Consider the following 25116-nt stretch of genomic DNA (forward strand, 5'->3'; position numbering starts at 1 on the left):
AGAAAAAGAGGATCCAGAATCCACATGGGCTAGACATTGTGCAGAGGAGGAGGAGAGGGCAAGGAGGGCAAGTAGAATAGAAGTAGCAGTGAGGGAGGCCAGGGGGAAAGAATAATGCGTTTGCAGGATAAATGGGTCAGAAGAGAAAGGACTGTTACATCGGGCAAGGTATAGGTCATTGCTGGCCATGATAAGAGCAGTTTCAGTGGCATTGTGAAGACAAGGGCCAAGTTCTGGTATGTAGAGGGGAGAGTGAGAGATGTGGAAGTAAAGGCAGTGGATTCAAGCAAGTCCTTTGAGAAGTTTTATTGTGAAGGACACATAAAAAATGAACAACACTAGGGTGGGGCATGGGGTCAAGGGAAGGAACTTTTGTTTTACACTTTTATGATTGTGAAATGTAGCAGACATTCAAAAGAATAGCTGTAGTACATATATGCCGTTCAAAGGAATTTTTCTTTTCTTCTTTTTTAAAGATGAGAGGTGCTACAGCATTTTGTATGCTAATGGGATGATCCAGTTGAGACAGGAGAAACTGATGATGCAGGAAAGAGAAAGGATATTTACAGGAACAAAGTCCTTGAGAAGGGGAGAAAGAACAGGATCCAGGGCCCGAGTGGAGGGGTCGGCCTCTGTTAAGAGTAGGGACACGTCTTTCATTGTCATAGAAGGAGGTTTGTCAATTTCTTGATGGAAAGACACAGGAGTTCCTGTCTGATTGCTTCTAAGGCTCAGTGAAGTATAAGGCAAGGTCATCAGCTGACAGTGAGGGAGGGAGGGGCAGTGTTTGAGCAGAGAGAGACTGCCCGCCCTCTCAGAGTGGGGAAGGGGAGGTAGGAAGGAAAGGTTATGGCATTGCTGGGCAGCGTCAGATGCCCATCTGAGGTTTGTGGTCACAGATTCAAAGTGAGATCAGTCAGCAGGGTTACAAGGGTTTCTCCAGCAATACTCAGAGGCCTGGGTGCAGATTCCAGGAAGACCAATAGATAGGGTTAGCCAGGACAGAGGTTTTGCTGGAAGAGAGTTAAGGACATTTGTAAGGAAATGATTACAATCCATATGATATAGTTTGGCTCTGCGTCCCCACCCAAATCTCATCTCGAATGGTAATTGCCACGTTTGAGGGAGGGACCTGGTGGGAGGATCATGTGGGCGGTTTCCTCCACGCTGTTCTCATGATAGGGAGGGAGTTCTCATGAGATCTGATGGTTTATAAGCAGTGATTTCCCCTGTGAGTTATCTCTCTCCTGCTGCCATGCAAGATGTGCCTTGCTTCCCCTTTGCCTTCCACCATGATTGTAAGTTTACAAAGAACTCCCCAGCCATGTGGAACTGTGAGCCAATTAAAGCTCTTTCCTTTATAAATTACCCAGTCTCAGTGATTCTTTATAGCAGTGTGAGAATAGACTAATACACCATGCTTAGCTGGTTAAGGAAGGGGGAGATGACATGGTGGGAGGGGGTCAAGAAAGACTGAAGGCAGCTCCCAGGTTTTTGCCACCCACCTACAGGCACCATTTGCCAAGATGCCATTCCCATATAGGAGGAAGTCCAGGTTTGGGAGGAGGACTCTGAGTGGAGATGTTGATAGGTGTGTCTGTGGGGATGCAGGTAGACAGATATCACTCCCACCTTGCTGGACCCTCTGGCCTTCCCTTGTCCCCTAGCTGAAAAGGTGAAAGACAACCTCATTGGCCCCAGTGCCCAGTGTCCCGCACAGGCAACTGCAACCTCCCTCTTTCTTTAGGAATCTGTCAGGGCCTGTTTGCTGGTCTTTTCAGTTTAATACATTTTAATCAGAAAATTAATCAGGAAACACCAGTTCAGCAGATAATTGAACAATGAGGCGACATGATAATTGCTGTTTAGTCTAATTAACTTTGTTAAGTCTTTATTGGCAACAGACTTCCTGAATGAAACTTATTAAATGTCCTTCCCTGGAAAACTCAGTTCCTATTCAAAGGAAAAGTTGTAGGGTCTGTCTGTCTGTCTGCATTGTTTCCAGAAAAAGGATATTGGCCCTGCAGCAGTCCTGTGGGCCACGGAGATTTGTCAACCTTCCTTTTGGCCCTGCCCAGCTTCCTTTTCTCTAGAACTGCACGCATCCCAGCTCAGGGGCACAGGACTCACCGTCTCAGCCAGTCCTGAGAGCCACTGCACTAGGCCACCTCTTTTTCCAAACCACGTGACTTGCAGCCCATTAGTCTTGTTCTCCTCTTATGGTTTGGGGATCTTCTTGAATAGGGCCATTCAGAGTCCTGGAGCGGGCACTAAGCCCCCTCCAGGGGAAGGGACCATCTGTGAAAATCACCTACAGGTATGAGTTGGCACACATTATGTACCAAGAGGCATCTGGCCCCAAGTTGTGTAAAAGCAGGCTATCGACCTGAATTATCCAATAAAGAGCTGCTTGATCGGGGCAGGCCCTTTGCAAAGGTGATGCCGACTTCAATGGCTCCAAAGGTGTGCAAAGTGTTTGGTTCATGCACTAAATGTTTTTCTCCTTAGAGTCTCTTCTTGCTCTTTTCTCTGTGATCATTTCTTATCTAGGTCCTCTCAGAGGGGACTTGCTTCTAATCTGCTTCCTCACTACACACAGCTAGTTCCCTTCTGTGGGAACACACAGCTCCAAATTCCCCTGTGGAGATCATTCCTGGTACTAGCACCAGTAGACACAGAAGGGGCATCTAGCTCATGGAAGCCCCAGAGATTTTACTGAATGACCCATCATGGGATCTAGAAGACAGATGTTGCCTGCTGAGTTCAAAAGTGGACATTCAGAATATGCTTGGTGGAAAGAGAAACACCAGCTTCTGCCATTGCAACTTTGCACAATTACCTTTGGTTTCAAGTCCCTCTGGGCACCACAACAGCAATTACCAAGAGGGCCACCTGCCATCGTAACCATTGCCCCTTTTTCAGGGATACTTGTCCTGGGAGTCCCCTCCTACCTCCTTATTGTGAACTCTTGACATCTAGGATTTTCAGCACCTGCTCCTAAGTACCAAAGGGTTCGGTTATCCTGGACAAGTGGTATTATTTTAGTGTGCTCTGTCCTGTCCAATATCAATAGGCCAAACCGATATTAAATTTACACAGATCCCAAATGTCAACTGGTGGCAGAGGTGACAGTGAACTATTCTAAGATGAAAGGAAGTACAGATCATTACCAGGTGGTTTTGGCTTAACGGGCAAAGAAATGAAGAGTGACAAGTGGCTGTTTTTGCATACTCCATGAAACCATCTCCTCATTGCTGGAAATGTACCCCTCAACCTGTCCTCCAGCTAATTCTGAGAGTTTTCAAGGGTACGGCCTTGAATGCTCCAGAATGAGCCCCTTGGCTGGTCTGCTTGCTGCTGCTGTGGGCTCTGGTGAGGTCACCAGGTGATATGGTTTGGCTGTGTCCCAACTCAAATCTCATCTTGAATTGTAGCTCCCATAATTCCCATGTGTCTTGGGAGGGACCCAGTGGAAGGCAATTGAATCATGGGAGCAGGTCTTTCCAGTGCTGTTCTCATGATAGTGGATAAGTTTCACAACATCTGATGGTTTTATAAAGAGGAGTTACCCTGCACAAGCTCTCTTGCCTCCTGCCATGTAAGACGTGACTTTGTTCCTCATTCACCTTCTGCCATGATTGTGAGGCCTCCAAGCCACGTAGAAATGTGAGTCAATTAAACCTCTTTCCTTTATAAATTACCCAGTCTTGGGTATGTCTTTATTAGCAGTGTGAGAATAGACTAATACACCAGGCTACTGAGCCTAGCTGTCCTCTCCTGATCCACCACTGACATCCACTTCTGAGGCCCTCAATCGAAACTGGCTGTTCCTTCTAAACCCCAGATTATTATCTTCCCCAATCCACCACCCCCCAATCCCAAACTGAAGGTTTAGGACTCAAGAAAGGGAAGCACAACAGAAAGAATAATTTAGAACTGCTACTAGAAGAGGCCACTCTTTGAACCCACAGACCCAACTCCAACTTTAAAACCTCTTACTGGACTGGTTCCCTCCCTGGCTGCTGGCCAGCCTTCCCACTCTGGAGTCCAGACCTGCCTCCCAAATCCTCACATCCTATCCCCAAATGGGAACCCCTACTGAAACTGACCCCCACCCACCCACAAGGGAGACATCTGGCATCAAGTCCATAACAAGGCAGCCCCACAAGAATCCCCCGGTACACTTCCCAGAGTCTGGCTCTCCAAGATTACAACTAGGAACAACTGCCGCAGAAAAATCTCACCAACTAGATACAAATGTGGCAATTTACAGGCCTGGGGCAGTCTCGATCCAGAATTAGAAAGGAAACATTTCTCTAAAGGAAACATAATTTGCAGAGGCCTGATTCCGCTAAAATACCCACCTGATTTCCATTACTAAGCAGTACACCTAACATCTCAGTCTGAAGCAATGGCATTTAGGTCTTGGAGAACCAGGGAAAGCACTTGCTTCTCATTTACATAACTACAAGGGCCCACTCAAGAGGTTCTGCCAAGAACAAAGGGACAGTCTGCCCTAAAGGTAAATTTCAGTCTCCACCCTTAAAGACAGAAACTGCTCAAAATTTTTACAATACTGCTCAAAATTTTTTCAGCTACAAAAATTGTAAGGTCTGAGTCTCTACCAGGCATCCTATTACATAAGGAGTAGAAGGAGGACGATAAATGTGACGGCAGGGATGATGCTGTATTTATCTCCTGCCCTGGCTAATGCCCAGCTCAAGACTCTCTGCATATCTAATAGGTCCTCAACAAATCGTTGTTGAATGAGATGGCATAAACTGGAACAAGTGTGAGATCCTGTGTGGGGCAGCTGGAGATAAAAAACAGAGAGGCACTGCAGGCCCATCTATGCAAACTATTAATAGAAATTGCCGGTGGAGGTCTGGATGCTATAGGTTTAGAGAGGCCAAGTTCCTCCAGCAAGGCTGTGAAGTCAAGCCTTTGGCCCTGATTACAACCCCAGCTGAGGGCACATGGCTCTGGGCCAGTGGAGTTTGGCTGTGACTTGTATAATAATAATACTAATAGCCTACGTGGCACTGTATGTATCAGCACATTTAATCATCACTTTCATGTGCGTCCGTGTGAAGAGACAACCAAACAGGCTTCATGTGAGCAATAAAGCTGTTTATTTCACCTGGGTACAGGTGGGCTGAGTCCGAAAAGAGAGTCAGCCAAGGGTGGTGGATTATCATTAGTTCTTATAGGTTTTGGGATAGGCAGTGAAGTTAAGAGCAATGTTTTGCGGGCAGGGGTGGATCTCATAAAGTACATTCTCAAGGGTGGGGAGAATTACAAAGAATCTTCTTAAGGGTGGGGGAGATTACAAAGTACATTGATCAGTTAGGATGGGGCAGGAATAAATCACAATGGTGGAATGTCATCAGTTAAGGCTATTTTTACTTCTTTTGTGGATCTTCAGTTACTTCAGGCCATCTGGATGTATACGTGCAAGTCACAGGGGATGCGATGGCTTGGCTTGGGCTCAGAGGCCTGACATTCCTGCCTTCTTATATTAATAAGAAAAATAAAATAAAATCGTGTTGAAGTCTCGGGGCAGCGAAAATTTTTGGGGATGGTATGGAGAGAGAATGGGCGATGTTTCTCAGGGCTGCTTTGAGTGGGATTAGGGGCGGTGTGGGAACCTAGATCGGGAGAGATTAAGCTGAAGGGAGATCTTGTGGTAAGGGGTGATATTGTGGGGTTGTTAGAAGAAACATTTGTCGTGTAGAATTATTGGTGATGGCCTGGATACGGTTTTGTATGAATTGAAAAACTAGATGGAATAAGAAAAGGAGAAAAACAGGTACAAAAGGTCTAAGAATTGGGAGAACCTAGGACGTCTAATTAGAGAGTGCCTAAGGAGATTCAACATAGTCCTGCCAGCAAAGATTATTTATTTACTTCAAGAGTTAAGAGTGGCAGTTTGGGGATAGCACGAGGAGATATCAGCTGTGATGGCTTGGAGAAACAGTATAAACCAGCAGTGTAAACAAGAGCAGGGCATGTATGAGTAGTTGAGAACGGTGAATAGGAGTATGACTAGACAGAAGATAGTAGGGATGACAAGTTTTTTGGGGGCACAGTCTAAGTTGCTCTGGTGTCTGGAAGGAGACCAGGGCCTAATAAAAAGGAGCATTTATACAGGAGCTTAAATGAGCTGTACCTTGTAGCATTCTGAGGACAGGTCTGACTTCTGAGAAGGGAAAGTGGTAAAAGTATTGTCCAGTCCTTTTTAAGTTGGTGGCTGAGCTTGGTGAGGTGTGTTTTTAAAAGACCTTTAGTCCGTTCTACTTTTCTTGAAGACAGAGGACCGTAAGGGATATAAAGTTTTCACTGAATATTCAGAGCCTGAAAAACTGCTTGGCTGATTTGACTAATAAAGGCTGGTCTGTTAATCAGACTGTAGAGAGGTGGGAAAGCTAAACTGAGGAATTATGTCTGACAGAGGGGAAGAAATGACTGCATGGCCTTCTCAGACCCTATAGGAAAGGCCTCTACTTATCTAGTGAAAGTGTCTACTTAGACTAAGAGGTATTTTAGTTATCTGACTCGGGGCATGTTGAGTAAAGCTAATTTGCCAGTCCTGGGTGGGGGCAAATCTTCAAGCTTGATGTGTAGGGAAGGGAGGGGGCCTGAATAATCCCTAAGGAGTAGTAGAATAGCAGATGGAACACTGAGAAGTTATTTCCTTGAGGATAGATTTCCACAATGGAAAGGAAATGAGAGGTTCTAAGAGGCGGGCTAGTGGCTTGTGCTATAGCATAGCCTGCCTTTGCTGGTGTGTGGCGATTAGGCCTGGTGGAACTGCCATTAATAAATCAAGCGTGATCAGGGTGAGGAACAGGAAGGAAGGAAATATGGGGAAATGGAGTGAATGTCAGGTGGATCAGAGAGATACAGTCATGGGGGTCAGGTGTGGGATCAGGAATAATGTGGGAGGCCGGATTGAAGTCCGGGCCAGGAACAATGGTAATTGTGGGACTTAACAAAGAGTGAGTACAGCTGAAGGAGCCGGGGAGCAGAAAGTATATGCATCAGGTATGAGAAAGAAAATAGATTTTGGAAGTTATGAGAAATGTAGAGAGTGAGTTGAGCATAGTCTGTGATTTTTAGGGCCTCTAAAAGTATTAAAGCAGCGGCAGCTGCTGCACGCAGACATGAGAGCTAGGCTAAAACAGTAAGGTCAAGTTGTTTGGACAGAAAGGCTACAGGGTGCGGTCCTGGCTCTTGTGTAAGAATTCTGACCGCACTAACCATGCCTAGGAAGGAAAGGAGTTGTTGTTTTGTAAGGGATTAAGGTTTGGAAGATTAATCGGACACGATCAGCAGGGAGAGCACATGTATTTTTATGAGAATTATGCCGAGATAGGTAACAGATGAGGATGTAATTTGGGCTTGACTGAAGTAATGGGGGCTGTCTGTGAAGCCTTGCGGCAGTACAGCCCAGGTAATTTGCTGAGCCTAATGGGTGTCAGGGTCAGTCTAAGTGAAAGCAAAGAGAGGCTGGGATGAAGGGTGCAAAAGAATAGTAAAGAAAGCATGTTTGAGATCCAGAACAGAATAATGGGTAGTAGAGGGAGGTATTGAGGATAGGAGAGCATATGGGTTTGGCATCACGGGGTGGATAGGCAAAACAATTTGGTTGATAAGGGGCAGATTCTGAACTAACCAGTAAGCCTTGTCTGGTTTTTGGACAGGTAAAATGGGGGAATGGTAAGGAGAGTTCATAGGCTTTAAAAGGCCATGTTTTAGCAGGCAAGTGATAACAGGCTTTAATCCTTTTAAATCGTGCTGTGGGATGGGATCTTGGCATTAAGTGGGGTAAGGGTGGTTAGGTTTTAATGAGATGGTAAGGGGTGCATGATCGGTCGCTAAGGAGGGAGTAGAAGTATCTTATACTTGTGGGTTAAGGTGGGGGAATACAAGAGGAGGACGCAAAGGAGGCTTTGGATTGGGAAGAAGGGCGGCAACGAGATGCAGCTATAGTCCAGGAATAGTCAGGGAAGCAGATAATTTGGTTAAAATATCTCGGCCTAATAAGGGAACTGGGCAGGTGGGGATAACTAAAAAAGAGTGCATAAAAGAGTATTGTCTAAGTTGGCACCAGAGTTGGGGAGTTTTAAGAGGTTTAGAAGCCTGGCTGTCAATACCCACAACAGTTATGGAGTCAAGGGAAACAGGCCCTTGAAAAGAAGGTAATGTGGAGTAGGTAGCTTCCGTATTGATTAAGAAGCGGACGGACTTACCCTCCACTGTGAGAGTTACCTAAAGCTCAGCGTCCGTGATGGTCTGTGGGGCTTCCGAGGCGATAGGGCAGCATCAGTCTTCAGCTGCTAAGCCAAGAAGATCTGGGAAGCAGTCAGTCAGAGAGCCTTGGGCCAGAGTTCCAGGGGCTCTGGGAGTGGCTGCCAGGTGAGTTGAACAGTCCGATTTTCAGTGGGGTCCCACACAGATGGGACGCAGCTTAGGAGGAATCCTGGGCTGCGGGCATTCCTTGGCCCAGTAGCCAGATTTCCGGCACGTGTAGCAAGCTCCTGGGGGAAGAGGTTCTGGAGGAACACCTGGCTGCTGCAGTTCAGGCGTTTGGAAGTTCTTGTGTGCTGGAGATGTGGCTGGGGTTTGTCTCACAGTGGAGGCAAGGAATTGCAACTTTTTTCTGTTATTGTACACCTTGAAGGTGAGGTGAATTAAGTCCTGTTGTGGGGTTTGAGGGCCAGATTCCAATTTTTGGAGTTTTATTTAATGTTGGGAGCAGATTGGGTAATAAAATGTATATTGAGAATAAGACGGCCTTTTGACCTTTTAGGGTCTAGAGCTGTAAAACATCTCAGGGTTGCTGCCGAACGAGCCATGAACTGGGCTGGGCTTTTTATGTTTGACGAAAAAGAGACTAAACGCTATCTGATTTGGGATAAAGAAAAAGGAGCATTAACCTTGACTATGCCTTTAGCTCCAGCCACCTTTTTAAGAGTAAATTGCTGGGCAGGTGGGGGAGGGCTAGTCACGGAACGAAACTGTAAGTCGGACCAGGTGTGAAGAGGGGAGGTGATAAAAAGATTATAGGGTGGAGGAGCGGAGGCTGAGGAAGAATTGGGACCTAGCTCGGCCTGGTGAGAAGGGGAGAGGTCAAAAGGGTCTGTAGAAAAGGAAGATTAGAAAGACTCAGCAATGCTTGGGGTTGGGACTGAGGGGACAGGTGGGAGGGAAAGAAGGAAGATTTGAGATGAGTTGCATTGGGAACAGAGACTAGAGAGGGACTGATGTGTAAAAGAATGCCTGGATGTCAGGCACCTCAGACCGTTTGCCTATTTTACGAGAATTATTTAGATCTTGCAGGATGGAAAAATTCAAAGTGCCATTTTCTGGCTATTTGGAACGACTGTCGAATTTGTATTGGAGTCAAGCGGCATTGCAGAAGAAAATAAGGCATTTAGATTTTAGGTCAGGTGAGAGTTGAAGAGGTTTTAAGTTCTTAAGAACACAGGCTAAGGGAGAAGGAGGAATGGAAGGTGGAAGCTTACCCATAGTGAAGGAGGCAAGCCCAGAGAAAACAGTAGAGACACGGAGAAGGGGTGGGGGTTTCTTGCCCTCCAGAAAAGCAGAGAAGGGGTCGGGGCACAGAGATACGAGGTCAGGGCGTGGAAATAAGGGATCGGGGCACAGAGATACGAGGTTGGGGTACTTGCCCTTCCCCCAGAAAAGCAGAGAAGGGATAGAGACACGGAGAGAAGGGGTTGGGGTACTTGCCCCTCCCCCAGAAAAGCGGGACTTGCTGCCAAGGGTGAAGGACCAAGGCAGGCGTCCCTGCATGGTCTGACACCTTTGTGATGGCTTGGCTTGGGCTCAGAGGCCTGACAATCACCACACCCCCATAAGAAAGGTACCATCACCACCTCTAATTAATAAATGGGAAAGTAAGGTACAGAAAGGTCAAGATAGTTGCCAAGATCATAAAGTTAAGACAGGGGTCAGTGAACTTTTTTCCATAATGAACCAAATAGTAATTATTTTCAGCTTTGCAGGCCATATGGTTGATCTCTGATGCAAATATACAACTCTGTCTTTGCAGCATGTAAGCAATCATAGACAATATATAAATGAATGGGTGTAATTGTCTAAATAAGACTTTATTTACAAAAATCAGGCAGTGAGCCAAATATCACCCACAGACTGAGTTTGCTGATCCATAAGCTAGCAGGCAAGGGATATTGGAGTCCAAATTCTTAGCCATTATCCATATCAATTGAAGAACCACAAGATTCACAAATTTGGAAAGAAGAGCTTTATTTCTTATAAGGGTTGCAGCCTGTGGGCTGGCCATCCCACAGGTGGGAAAATGTAGCCTCCAGTAGAAACCAAAAGCAAGCACTACAAGGGAGGTAAGGGTGGAAGAGTAATTTATGCAAAATGGGTTGGATAAGTATACACATTTAGTGGGTTACAGGAGGAGCTATGACTATTCATGATAGTGGGGCATATGCATGCATAATAAACAAACATACATGGTACATACATCCATGTTCACTTTGTCTATTAACCTATTCTCATGCTGCTAATAAAGACATACCAGAGACTGGGTAATTTATAAAGGAAAGAGGTTTAATTGACTCACACTTCCACATGGCTGGGGAAGCCTCACAATCATGGTGGAAGCTGAAGGAGGAGCAAAGTCATGTCTTACATGTCAGCAGGCAAGAGAGCATGTGCAGGGGAACTCCCCTTTATAAAACCATCAGATCTCATGAGACTTATTCACCATCATGAGAGCAATATGGGAAAAATCCACCCCCACGATTCAATTACCCCCCACTGGGTCCCTCCCATGACAGGTGGGGATTATTACAATTCAAGGTGAGATTTGGGTGGGGACAAAGAGCCAAACCATATCACTTTGGGTGGAGACTTAACTTTTAAATGCAGTAAAGTTAGGCTCTGTATGTCAAAAGGTCAAAGAAAGGATGCAGAAGCATCCTGTGCACAGCCTCTGTAAACCGGCCAGAACCAGCCCATGGTCAGCAGTCTCTATTTTTTTTTTTTTTTTTTTTTGTGACAGAGTTTCACTCTTGTCCCCCAGGCTAGAGTGCAGTGGTGTGATCTCGGCTCACTGCAGCTTCCGCCTACCAGGTTCTAGTGATTCTCCTGCCTCAGCCTCCTTAGTAGCTGGGATTACAGGCACATGCCACCACGCCAAGCTAATTTTTGTATTTTTAGTAGAGACAGGGTTTCACCATGTTGGTCAGGCTGGTCTCAAACTCCTGACCTCAGGTGATCCACACGCCTCGGCCTCCCAAAGTGTTGGGATTACAGACATGAGCCACCATGCCCAGCCCAGTCAGTGGTCTCTTATCAGGAAGGAATGCTAGTCGGTTGTGTCAGAACTGCAAAAAGGGAGGCATCTGACAAGTCTTTCACAAGAGCTGGTTTCTGTTTCACCTTTAGGAAAGAGTCTAATGGTAGTCAGTGAGGGAGGGGATATAACAAGTTGTGTTTGCCTCCCCATCCCATTCTGTCTTGGATGGGTACTCAGTTTTTACAATTTCTCTGAGGTTCCTTTGGCCAAGAGGGGGTCTGTTCACTTAGTTGTGGGGCTTCAAATTTTATTTTTATTTCTCAGCCACATCTTTCTCTAGAGACTAAGGTAAGGGAGTCCCAGAGGATGACCATCACAGAAGCAGGAGACAGGCTTCAGTTATCAGCCAGGACCTAGGCTCAGACCAGCCCCCTTCACATGTGGTCCACACACCCAGTGATCTAAACCTTTGTCACAACATTCCCAGTGATCGTTTTCCATCTTGGGGATGAGGATTGAATTCTCAGGTCGGGGAAAACAGAAAATAGAGATTAGGGTGGGAAAGCACAGGCGAGAAAGCTCTGGGGAACAGACAGGATATTGAAGCTGAAACAGAGCACATTTCAGAAGGGGGCTGGAGATTAGGGATAGGATTATGGCAAGGACAATAATAATAACGTATAGCTCACTTATTCTGTGCCCTACTAAGTGTTTTGCATGTCATCTTTCTCTGTCATGGGTTAAAATGTATGTCACCATTTCCCAAAATTCCCAGCACCCAGGCTGGGAATTGACTGGGGATCTGACTGTGACCTTACCTGGAGATAGATATGTCTTTACAGAGATAATCAAGTTAAAATGAGGTATTTAGGGTGGGCCCTAATCCAAGATGATTAGGGTCCTTAGAAAAAGGGGAAATTTGGAGACAGACGTGCATATCAAGGGAATGCCACATGGCATGAACATAGCCATCTACAGACAAAAGAGAGGGGCCCAGAACACATCCTCCCTCACAGCCCTCCAAGGACACCCCCCTGCCAACACCTTGATCTCAAACTTCCAGCCTCCAGAACTGTGAGACACTAAAATCCTGTTTTTTTAAAAGCATAGTTTATAATACTTTGTTACAGCAGTCCTAGCAAACAAATACAAGTTCATCAAGCCACGGCTACCATTCTAGAAGGCCAACTCTGTTGTTATCTCCATTTTACAGAAACTCAGGTTTGCAGAGGCTGAGTAACTCGCCTACATCACACAGCTAGGAAGAAGAGGAGTTGGCATTTCAAACAAGGTTTGCCTGATTACCAAGAGATCTTAACCACTAATTTTAACCATGCTGCATGGGGTGCTGGGGGTTGGGGAGAGGTTGAATGGGGCACAGCACCTCTCATTACATCTGGTAACTTAAAGCACAGGCCCTGACTTTGCCCACCTCTCAAAGGACCTCCCCCTCTCCCACACATACATCCCTTTGCTCTGCCCAGGGTTGGTCCTGGGGAGTGGGGAGCTTGGCGACTGAGGACTGGGTGGACTGTAGGGTGGACACTATCCCCCTAGGAGGAATCTCATTTCCCCTCCAGCACTAAGGAAACAATGCGGCTGTCAGCCCGTCCCGGGAAAAGCCTGCTGGTCCCAATGGTGCCCCCGCCCCCCAGCAGGCACTGTGGTTGGCCTGACTCTTCTCATTAGGCCTGGGGTGACAGGACGTATCGCAGCCAGCAGCTTGCTGCAGCATCTCCTGCCTCGAGCACCAGAGCTCTGCTGGGGAGACGCAGTGGCTGCCAACCCTGACTCACCTTGTCTGCTCCTGGAGCCTCACCCTCCCTGGCTAATTATCCCCAAAACCTGCACTGTCCAGAGGCCTTCGGCACAGAGACATCCACACTCTTGGCCTTTTGTGGGCAGGAAAGGCCTGCTGAGGCTGTTTTAAGAAAGCAGAATTGTCAGAGCCCAAGAGGTAATTAGTATTTAAGAGGCACAAGTTGGCAAGGTTAAAAGCTGAGAAATAAACACACACACACACACACACACACACATACACTCCATTTCAAATAATTCTTAAAAGAGTAAACAGGAAGATATGGCCCCTGCCTGGGAAACCATTAAGAAAGAAAGATAGAATTCCACACCACAGATGACCTCAGGCACTGCTGTCTGGACAGAGGCTCTTCCGCAGTGCCAGGACAGGGCTACTTCTAGGCTGTGAAGCTCTCATCTGCCCCCAAAACCTCCTCTTCCTCCACTCCTCCTTGTCTCTGCCATCATCCTTCCTGCCACACCACTGAAAACCTCAGAATCTCCCACTGCTCTGTCCACTCCAACCCAATGTGCTGGGGATTTGTCCTTTGCCATGTAACTCTTATCCAGCCCTGCCTCTCCAGCCCACAGTCCCTGCCCTAGTTCCAGCCTGGACCACTATAACACCTCCTTTCTGGTCACCCCACATTGGATCCATCTTCCAAACAAAGGTTTGATTGTGTCATCTTTCTACTTAAAACTCTTTCCTGGCACCTCACCGCCAAGATGCCCCGTGGGAGAGTGCATTTTCCCTTGACCTCTGGCACTGGAGTGGAACTGCAGCTCCACCTTGCTTCCATATGGCCCTGGGTAAATTACTAAATCTCTCCAAACTCAGCTTCCTCATCTGTAAAATGGGTGTAACCATACTTACCTCAAGGAACTGTTGTGAGTGGTGAGCAATCAGCACCTTGAACCTGTTCATGACTCAGTAAAGTGTGGCTTTTATGATTATTAATCCAAGAAGGAGAACGGGATTGTCCATGGTTACCTGGTAGGTTAGTAGCAAGTCCAAGACCTCGAACCCTCAGGGCACTGCAGAGCAAAATATAGCAGGCCCTCGATAAGTATCTGTTGGGTGAGTGGCTGTCAATCAATCCATAAATCAATCACTTGATCCCAGCCGGCCCTAGGTAATAAGTTCCACGAGCCTATTAACCTCCTCTCAAGACAAAGGTAAGGAAACCCAGCTTCCTTTTGTGGCCCGTGCTTATTTCTCAAGACTCAAGGAAGCTCCCTGGTGTTTACATCTGGGATTGTATGAACAAGCCTTAACTGGCTCTTTTCAGACGTCCTAATCCTGATGTGGACTCAGCTTTGCTTTTCAGACTGCGAAGGCACTGGCCCTCTGGTTTCCCACATGAGAGTGTCTTTCTCTGAGTGGCAGCCCAGAAAAGGCTTCCTGAGTTCCTGCAGCTGACCCAGCTGGGATTTCAGGTGGCCCAGACAGTTGGACCAGAATTTCTATCTGTAGTAGGATAAATTCTACCTGTTGAGGGTGACTCTGAAATTTTTTGTTTGTTTGTTTGTTTGTTTGGTAGGAAGTTGAGGTCTGGCTATATTGCCCAGGCTAATCTCAAACTCCTGTGCTAAAGTAATCCTCCCCCTCAGCCTCCAGAGTAGCTGGAATTACAGACATAAGCTACCATGCCCAGCTCAGAACCCCTTTAAAATGTGTGAAGTCAGGAGCCCTGTGGGAACTGGCTTCAACCCTGCCACTGTGAATGAGCCCAGACCAACAACCGTCCACTCAAAACTACAGGCTTACTGCTTTGTTGCCTTAGTTAGAAACCCAAGCCTCTTCCTGACACCTTTTCTGGTTTTTTGTTTTTTGTTTTTGTTTTTTGTTTGTTTGTTTTGAGATGGAGTCTTGCTCTTGTCACCCAGACTGGAGTGCAATGGTATGATCTCGGCTCACTGCAACCTCTGCCCCTCAGGTTCAAGAAATTCTCCTGCCTCAGCCTCCCGAGGAGCTGGATTACAGGCACCAGCCACCACACCTGGCTAATTTTTTGTATTTTTAATAGAGACAGGGTTTTGCCATGTTGGCCAGTCTGGTCTTGAACTCCTCACTACAGGTGATCCACCTGCCTCAGCCTCTCAAAATGCTGGGATTGCAGGAATGAGCCACGGTGCCCAGCCAATCTTTCTTAACCCACCTTCTACACCAAGCCCTACCCATCCCATCATCCAAATGTGTCATTTCCCTCCCACACCACTAACAGCAACCATCGATGTTTACGCCACCCTCGTCTCCCTCCTGGGCTGTTCCAAGAGCCTCCTTCCTGACCTCCCTGCTTCCAGCTTCACCCCTTGCTCCAACCAAAACAATCTTGCTAACACACAAATCTACCTCATCACTCCCCTGCTTAAAACCTTGCAAAGGCTTCTCATTGCACCCAGGAGGAAGTCCAAAAGCCTTAACTGGATTTATAACATCTTAACGATCTGCCCCTCCCTTTCCAGTCCAATCTGATCAGACTCAACATGCTTGCTTTTAGAGTGCCAGATTCGTTCCGTCCTCTGGGCCTTGACAAGTGCTATTCCCTCTGCCTAAAACACTTTTCCCCCTCTTCTTCACTTGCTGAGTTTATTCAACAAATTCATTCAAGAACTACCTACAGAATGCCAGGGTTGTATCAGGCGATCTCCTTATGAGGTTCGGAGTCTCATGGAAGAGTCATAGTTACCTCAAGGGACAAATCAAATAACACAGATTAATCAATCATTACAAATTGAGATCAGTGCCATGGAGGGGAATGACAGAGAGGCCTAACCTTGGCATCTTGGAAGGCTTCCCTGAAGAAGGAATCTTTAAGCTGAGAGGTGAAGTGGTTGTTCAGTACTGGCAATAGGAACCGGGGACTGTGTGGCCCCATTCTCCACCAAGTGGAACATGACTGCCCACTATGGGAGTAAAGGAGGCTAGCAGGCAAGAGTGAGTGTGTCCATGGCTCCTGGCCTGAGGCTCCTGCAACTGCAGTTTTGCCTCTTATTTTCCCAGTCACTCCATTTTTCTCTCATGGGCTAGTCATGAGCAAACCCTGACTAATAAAATGACAAGGCTTCCAGCAGATGGTAGCATGGCCTTTGAAATCATAGAGACTTGGCCTCGATTCCTGGACCCTCCACTTGTCACCGTGTGGCCCTGGGCCAGTTACTTCCCCTGTGTAAGCATGAGTTACCTCATCTGTAAAATGGGACAAAAATTCCTCCCTTTGCAAGGTTCTCCTAAGGAGGAAATGAGATGGAAGGTGTGTCCTTTCAAAAATGAACTGCAAAAGAATTGAAAGCCTCGTGCCATTTGCAGTTCAAGTAGGGGTAAATGGGTGATGGGGTCCCTCATGCTTTGGGCCAAAATCTACCAGGCTGGCTGGGCTCAAAGAGACCAAACTAGAGAATTCAAAATTTCTCACTGCAGAAAAAAGCCAGCACTACCATTTAAACTGTTGATGTATTCTTTTAAAATTGACTTTCTGTCAGAGACAAGTATAATTGAATCCCCGGACCCTTCGATATTAAAGAGGTTTCTGGACTCATTTCCCCCACCCCTAGCCCACCAACAATAAAAGAAAAACAGAGTTGTATTAAAAATATTTAATATTCGGCACTTGATCCTACCTCCAAACAGAAACACCTAACTATGGGCCAGAGAGTGGAGAAAGAGCAGATGGCTGATAAGGTCTCGCATGGTCTGGCCCCTTCCCATAGGGCCCAATAGATGACACCCCTTTCTTACCCTGCCTTAATATAGAACTTATGAAGTCCTGCAGATGGAGATCAAGACATCAGCTGCGTTGTTGAAAGTATATTGTTGTGGACTGTGGCTTAAGTGTCAACACTGGGTTTCCTAAGTCCACCTCATCATCAAGCATCCTCACACGTCCAGCCTCAAGGAACGGTAGGACTGTAGACTTCACCCTGCAGGGGCAGAATGTTTACTGCCAAGAGACCCCTAACGGAGTCCAGAATACCCAGCACCTCGTCTCAAACTCACTAGTCAGAATAATCACTTGTCTTCCCTGGGAGGAGAGAGGGAAGGAGCAGAGAGAGAGAGGCCAGGAAAGACCAGAAAAAGAAAATAAGCCGTTATCCCTAACTTCATTCACTCTATCTGTGCCCTGTCCAAACTGGTCTTCTTTTCAGCTCTGCAAAAATGCCATGCTTCTTTGCAGCCAGGGCCTATGTACATGCTTTACTTTTTTTTTTTTTTTTTTTTTGTATATTTGGAACACTCTCTTCTATTCTCGTTTTGTCTGGTGACCCTTATTCATCTTACAAGTTTCTGCTTAAACATTATTTCCCTAGGAAAGCCTTCCTGATCTCCCACACAAGGTCATGTCCCCCTGTTAAATGCTCTCCTAGCTTCTGTATTCCCTCTATGTCACATTTGTCGCATTTGTCATGATTTTAAGTACATAATTATTTGTGTGATTATCTGTCCAATGTCGGCTTGCTCAAGAAGACTCGAGGGCAGAGCTGTGCTTGTGAGGATGACCACTGTATGTATCCTGGCATCAGTCTCACTACCACCACACAGTAGAGGCTCAAGATATTAATTAAAGGAAGTAAGTAACAGTAACACACAAAGCCATTTTAAGCACTTTGCATACATTAATCTTTTTAATGTTTAAAGTACTTCTGTTTTACAAGTGGGGAAACCAAGGCACAAAGAGGTTAGATAATTAGCTCAAGGTCATACAGCTAACGAGCAGAGCTGGGATTTGAACACAGGCAGTCAGACTCCAGCAGCAGTGCTACTCACAACTGCACTGAAGTGCATCTTGAGGAGGAGAGATGGGAGAAGTGTGTGCCATGCACGAGAGATTGGGGAGGGTCCTGATGCACAGACGGGCTTTTCTTGCACAAGAGTCTAGCCAGAGGAAAACAAAGATGGGAGAAAAGACAGAAAAGAACGTTCCATCTGCCACATTGAGGTAAGAAGTCAGGGATGCCTAAGGGGATGTCCGGGGTGAAATGCAGGGGCAGAGAAAGCCCCAAAGCTCACTGCTGCCTCTGGAACATTAAGTTAAGCCATCAACTCCCGCCCTGGTCCTGGGAGTCGGTATATGAGTTTGGCCAGTTGCCATGACAATTGGCTCTCTTGGCCCTTCAGGGTGGTCCAGCTATGGGGACCCCTGCCTCCCTGGGGTTCTCAGCACACCTGACAGATAATTTCCACCTCATGTCATGATCTACATGAAACACATCACAGTGCCTGATAGAGTAAAAGTGTGATACATGTTTTTAAAACCTCTCAGAAGAGCCTGCATGGGAGTCACAGCCCTGACCATGGGTGCCTCTCCCTGGAGGCAATGTCCCTTGGGGGGCTAATTGTTCATTAACTCCACCAGTGAAGTCCTACAGAGATGGAATGCTGCCACCCCACGTGCCCACACCTGCGTAGTCAGCATCTGGCAGGCTCATTGTTTTAAGTGATGAGCAATTGTCATTTTCTGTCGCCTCCATGATAAATCACTTTAAGAACTCCTTTCTCTCGACAGCATAAGTAATTACAGCCCTGGTATCTGGGGCCCTGGCACCGATTAGAAGGGAAGCAAACTACACCGGAACTGATGCTGACTCATTTTTCTTTCTCAAAAGGGCCTAGAGGCCACAGGTTCAGAACCATTTGGCTGGACCCTTCCCGGGCTGAAAGCTGACTCCCTCCACCCCACAGCACTGCCAGAGCTGAAGCCTGGAGACAGAGCCCTCCACTCCCACCCTGCAAAGCCCCTCACCTCCTTTTCTCTAGCTGTCTTTAAGACATGATTCCCAAGTGAACCAATGATTAGGAGGAAAATGTATTGTGCTATAACAGAGAGAAATAATTAGGTTAGATAATAAGAAAGGGAAGTGTACCTTGTAAGAGGTTCTGCTGTGGTTATGCATTCTTGGGAATATTTGATCTATTATGTTTTTTTCTTGGTAGACATGGGATGTATTGAATCAGTAGAATAAATAAACCTCTTGGTAAGCAAGAAAAAACATACCTCAGATGGTAAGAATCTTGGTGACCCAGAAATGACAATGAGGAAAAGATCGGATGATCCTGACATTCTCATAACCTGAGAAGGAGATCCTGGAACAGTACTTGGGAGAGCATTGCACTTAGGATTAAAGAATTAAAGCACACGGGGGCAGACTTGAGTGGTAGAAAGGATATATGAAACCCATGTGCTCAAGAATGTCCTGGGTACGGTACCTGCTGTCACTTCTACCACCAATGGTTGCCACCATCATAAGCAGTTGTCAGTGAATTCACATCATGCACCTGTCTGCCTATCTGCTGGTGTCACCACATGAGAGAAACCTCTGGCCAAGAGTTAAGGAAGGCCATTCTCCTGGCAGCTTCTGTGAACCAGCCTGGGTGCCAGCTAGCCTGACAGCCTCCTGTCTTGATTACTCTCCCTGCCCCTTTACCAATAGCCTGAGAGTCATGCGCTTTTGCAGAAGTTATTGGCTAGGGAGTCAGCAAACAATCCTGGGCAATGACACCAAAAATAAAAGGATGGAAGATGTTCATGATTAAATAAATTTTGGAAATGCTGCATACTTTAGCCTTCTCTGGGAGATTCACAGTGCACATTAGCATTCTAAATGCTCTGAGAAGCCCTGCAAGAAATAACCAGGCTAGCTTTATTTAACCCATTGTTTCCTGCACTGCTCTGATCAAGGTACCTTTTTCGTGGATACCTACAAACATCCCCAAGAACATTCTTTAAGGAAATGTTTGTTGGCACAGCCAAGACTTTCAGCTGCAAGTAAGAGAAGAGACTGGAGTCTGACTCAACCCAGGACCACAGTGACCTGACCAGAAAAAAAGATGCTGAAACCAGCTGTGTTCACCTGAGGAGATGACCGTGTCTGAGAATAACAGTAGCTCATATTTGCTGGGTATTCACCTTGTACAGTACTTCATGATCTCCAGTTTTCAGATACGGAAACTTAAAGGAATGAAATGCAATGTACCCAGTAATATATAATAGGTGGTCAAGCCAAGGTCTCTCGGTGGCCTGCCTGACTTGGGTATATCCCATAAACCCTCTAGGTTCTAACTTTTTATTTATAACATGAGGCTTATCATATTATATTTTACCCACCCTTATGAAGTTGTGATGAGGATTAGATGAGATGATAAAGGACTTAATGCAGGGCTTAGAACATAGTAAGCTCTTAAGAAGTGTCAGCACAACAAATCCCACACAAGCTGTACTTAACTTCTCCAGTGATGGGCAGCTCATTGCCTTACAAAGACCCTGACATGACCCGCTCTAGTTACGAGAACAGTCACCCTGTTATTGAGCCAAAACTTGTCTCCTCTTCCCCTTGGGTCCTAGCTGTGCCCTGGAAGCAGCCCCTAACCCTCCTCCCCTGACATCTCTGCAGAGACCCAGACAAGGATGTCATCCCCAAGTCTGCTGGTCTTTTCTCCTTATCCTCCTTCCCCAGTTCATTGAGCTTGGGAGCAGGCACTTTGCCACCAAGTTAAGACCTCCAATCATTTCTTCTTCCTTTACCCCATCCCTGGGCAGGGCCCCTGGTGTTTCTACGCTCCTCCCTTGAACAGCACACTTCTAAAGGGTTTCTCTCTATCTGCAAAAGCCAGCATCTGCCACAGAGCACCCAGACCGTGAAAGTTGATGGAGGGCACGGACATCCTGCATGCCAGCCAGCCCAACTTGCCTGGGTGGCCAAGAAGGGGACAGGTCAGCCTCACACCTAACTCAGCTCCCTGGGGAAACCAAGTGAGGAGAAGGGATGTGCTGGCCCAGATGTCACTGGATGCAAGACCAGGTGCACAACCCAGCAGCCTCTTGAAGGCGGGAAGTCCCCAGAGGACACAGAACACAGAGGAAGAGAGCAACGTTGTTATGGTTTAACCCTTAGATGGCACATACCATTTACCAGCACAGTTCTATGTACTTTACCTGCAGATTAACTCATTTATCCTCACAAGACCCTATCTGCTCCCATTTGAGAGAGGAGCAAACCAGGCCAAAGAGAGGTTAAGTTATTTTCCCAAGATCACACAGCAAATATGCAATACAGCTGGTGTTTGAGGCCAGACAATCTGGCTCCAGAGCTTGCATCCTGACTCTCTGTCCTACGTTGTCTCCCAGCACTATACCATCTAGAGCAATCCAGGGAAGAAAAGGCTACAGGAAGGAATGGTAAAACTGAGACTAAAAGGGTAGGAAGGATTCAGAGACTTAAAAACAGAGAGAAAGGGCATTGTCTGGGAGAACAGCATGGAGCAAATGGTAAAGGTGTACCATAGGCAGGGAGGAGGTCGGCTGGCTGGGGCAGAGGCCTTGGGGAAGGTAAAGGGTTAGTTTTGTTCTTCCTCTCAAACAGAATCATCATTACAGGGACAGGACAAGGTGAATGGCAGAGTCCCACCTAATGCCTTGTCTGGAACAGAGACAGTGAATAAAATAAAATCCCCACCCCAAGGAGCTCACAATCTTGTAGGCAAAAGCCATTGTAGCAGCCGCTGCCATGGATGGGCTTGAGAGGGTGCCTTCCCCAGGCGTGGTCCCTGTGACTCTGAAAGACAGCATCTCCCTTGCAAGGGAAGTTGGTAGCTGCTCAGCTGCATCCATAAAGCAAGTCAGATTCCACTGGGAAAGCTTCTGGAGTCTCCATTAGTGCTAAAACGGCCCAATGCTGCCTCCCTCCACACTGGCAATGAATTACTCCGAGACAGAGATGGAGAAGATGCCAAAGTCTCCCATCGTCTTTCCTAACCTTGGGACAAATTAAATCAAATTCCACTGCACAGCCTGAAGGCATAAACTTCGTTAGCTGCACCAATATATTCTGCCAGGCAGGCAGGCTCCCAGGTACTAATTACTTTATTCAGCAAGTTAAACAAATGATATGATATCTAAATTTGAGGGAGAGGCACCCGAGAGTTATGGAGCACATAGCATTGGGATCTGCCAATGAACAAAGCAAAACGGAATTGGTAAACTAACAGCTCAAAGTATTTTATCTGCATAGCCTTCAAGATTCAGCTCAGGGCCTCTGTCCCCTCCTCCTCTAGGAAGCCATCCCTAATGACATCATCTCCATAGACCTTTCCTTCCAGAAGGCTGTATACCCTAGTGGTTAGGAGCATGGTTTTGGTCATGCCTAGTAAAATTTGGGTTCTACCTCAGACTAATTGTGTGACTTGGGCACATTGCTTAATAGCCAGATTACTCTAAACTCCCAGTTCCTCAACAGTAAAGTAGAGAAATAATAGCTTCTACTTCCTAAGATTGTTGCAAGTGGTTCTTGAGATAATCCATGTAAGGCTATTAGCACATAGTAAAATCTCCATGAACAGGCATTGTTTCTATTATGATTGTTAGTATTATTTATATTGTTAACCATTGCAATATTGTTGGGGTCTCCAGGGGGTTCTCAATAAGTGGCAGCCTTCTTGACTCAGTCTGCAGAATTTTTAAATATAAAACAGATAGAGATCAAAATATTGATATTATTACTGACAGAGGCTGAGTTGGAGGATGTAGCTTAGTGATGACAGTTAGGACAATGAATTCCAAGTTTAAGTTTCTCACACACACACAGAACAGGGCAGACTTCTTTGCAGGAACCCTGCCCAGTCAAGACACACAGCAAGGTAGAGCCCTCATGGTCTCATCCAGGCCAGATCACCCCCAAGGGAGACAAGGTACCACAGAGACATGACTGTTATTCTTCTTAAATTTGCCAGTCAGATAAGTCATTCCATCTCCCCAGGGTAGCAAAAACAAGTGGGGTAGAAAAGGACTCAGTTACACTAATTAAGCCACCTTCACCGAAGAAACATCTGGAGTAGGAGGAAAGCCTTTCCCACTAACACAGGAGACAATGGAATGTGGTGGAATCCAACAGGATGGATTCGAATCTATTCTCCCTCCATTTACTGCTATGTGATTTGGGGGAAGAAAATCTCTTTGATTATGGACCCAGTAAAATCTTGCTTAAACAGCATACAAACCATTCAGAAGAGGTCACTGGCCAGGCATGGTGGCTCATGCCTGTAATCTCAGCACTTTGGGAGCTAAAGTGGGAGGATCACTTCAGGCCAGGAGGTCAAGGATGCAGTGAGCCATGGTCGTACCACAGCACACCAGCCTACATGACAAAGCGAGACTCTGTCTCTGAAAAAAAAAAATTAAAGGTAAGAAAGAGAGAGAGAATAAAAGAAAGAAAGAAGGAAAGAAAGAAAGAAAGAGAAAGAAAAAGAAAAGAAAAGGAGGGAGGGAGGAAGGAAGGAGGGAAGGAAGGAAAGAAGGGAGGGAGGGAAAGAAAGAGAAAGAGAAGAAAGAAAGAGAGAAAGAGAAAGAGGGAGGGAAAGAAAGAAAGAGAAAGAGAGAAAAAGAAGGAGGGAGGGAGGAAGGAAGGAAGGAAGGAAGAAAGGAAGGGAGGGAGGGAGGGAAAAAGAAGAGGTCATCTACACTTCCCTGATCCTTGATCCTCTGTTCTTTGTTCCCCAAATCCAGACATGTCATGGCTCCTGAACTTTGGCTTTCTGGCCTTCCTCCCCTCATCTTCCCGGTGCTGACCCTGCCGCCCTCTTCTACAGCTTCTAAGACCGAGACAAAGCCGCACTGACCCAAGCAGTCCACGACCAGCCAGCTGCCCCCAGACACAGTTCCCTCACTCCTGGTCGGAAGACACTTGAATACAGATTCTGCGCTGGCAGAGGAGTGCCGGCGCCTCCAGCTCCCTCAGCTCAGGACCTCTCCCCTGGCAGGAGCAGGGGGTGGAAAGCGTGCGAGCACGCTGGAGCTGAGGAAGCAGCAGGAAGGAGGGGTGTGTGCCAGTGCCATAGACTCGACCAGGGCCTTCCACGTGCCTTCGCTCCTGTCACGGTCACGTAACCTTCTGAGGTGAGCACTGTCATCCCACTTTCCAGAAGAGATGCCTAAGGCTCAAGCCCTACCTGGAAGATTAGGAAGCCCCCGCCGGACCCCCTTCCTGGTTGACGATGACATTCATTCCAGTAACTGGCTTCGCCCCCTGGCTACAGTTGTTTGGATAGTGGAGAGCACATGACTCAAGATGAACCAATCAGAGTTGTCCTCCCACTAATGTGTGCAATTCATAATCAGCCGCACTGGGGAAGTTGGAGACTGGACTATCATCTGATGACATGTGCCAAAAGACAGATAAAAACAAGAGACAGGACCAGGCATGGTGGCTCACGCCTGTAATCCTAACACTTTGGGAGCCTGAGGTGGGTGGATTGCTTGAGGCCAGGAGTTCAAGACCAGCCTGAGCAACGTGGCAAAACCTCGTCTCTACTAAAAATACAAAAATTAGCCGGGCGTGGTGGTGCACACCTGTAATCCCAGCTACTGGGGAGGTTGAGACACAAGAATCACTTCAGCCTAGGTGGCAGAGAGTGCAGTGAGCCGATATCACACCACTGCACTCCAGCCTATGGACAGAGTGAGACCCTGTCTCAAAAAAATAAATAAATAAAAATTTTTGAAAAAATAAAATAAAACAAACAAGCAAACTAACAAAAACAAGTGAGAGAAAGAGAGACGATTAAGCACAAGCCCAGAGAAATCCAAACATGAAAGACTGTCTGGCTCCAGGGAGCGTGAGACTGAGATAGGGTGACTGCTTTGATTCTTGGTGGCCTCCCAGTCCCTTGTGAGAGCTACTGCTTTCCTGCGATGGCCTCTGCCTCCCTGCAAAAAAAAATTCTCTGTTTTTGTTTTTATTTATTTATTTTTTGAGACAGAGTCTCGCTCTGTCACCCAGGCTGGAGTGCCATAGCGCAATCTCGGCTCACTGCAACCTCCCCTTCCCGGATTCAAGCAATTCTCTTGCCTCAGCCTCCTGAGTAGCTGAGATTACAGGCACACGCCACCATGCCCAGCTAATTTTTGTATTTTTTTTAGTAGAGACAGGGTTTCACCATGTTGGTCAGGCTGGTCTCAAACCCCCACCTCATGATCCACCCGCCTTGGCCTCCCAAAGTACTGGGATTACAGGCGTGAGCCACCACACCTGCC

At 46.7% G+C, this 25116-nt stretch overlaps 1 long non-coding RNA gene across 3 annotated transcripts in view, besides 1 other annotated feature; it reads right to left on the minus strand.

Annotated features, from left to right (window-relative positions):
* Positions 1-25116, minus strand: part of LOC105378641 (uncharacterized) — a 227461-nt gene that overhangs the window by 169028 nt on the left and 33317 nt on the right. The window lies entirely within an intron of this gene.
* Positions 12990-13489: an enhancer, noted in NCBI's record as "H3K4me1 hESC enhancer chr1:35105477-35105976 (GRCh37/hg19 assembly coordinates)". NCBI's record gives its function as "activates a minimal SCP1, AML or CMV promoter by ChIP-STARR-seq in primed H9 embryonic stem cells {active_cell/tissue: H9 hESC(primed)}" and the evidence as "EXISTENCE:reporter gene assay evidence [ECO:0000049][PMID:30033119]".

This window comes from Homo sapiens, chromosome 1, assembly GCF_000001405.40.
Source record: "Homo sapiens chromosome 1, GRCh38.p14 Primary Assembly".
NCBI lineage: Eukaryota > Metazoa > Chordata > Mammalia > Primates > Hominidae > Homo > Homo sapiens.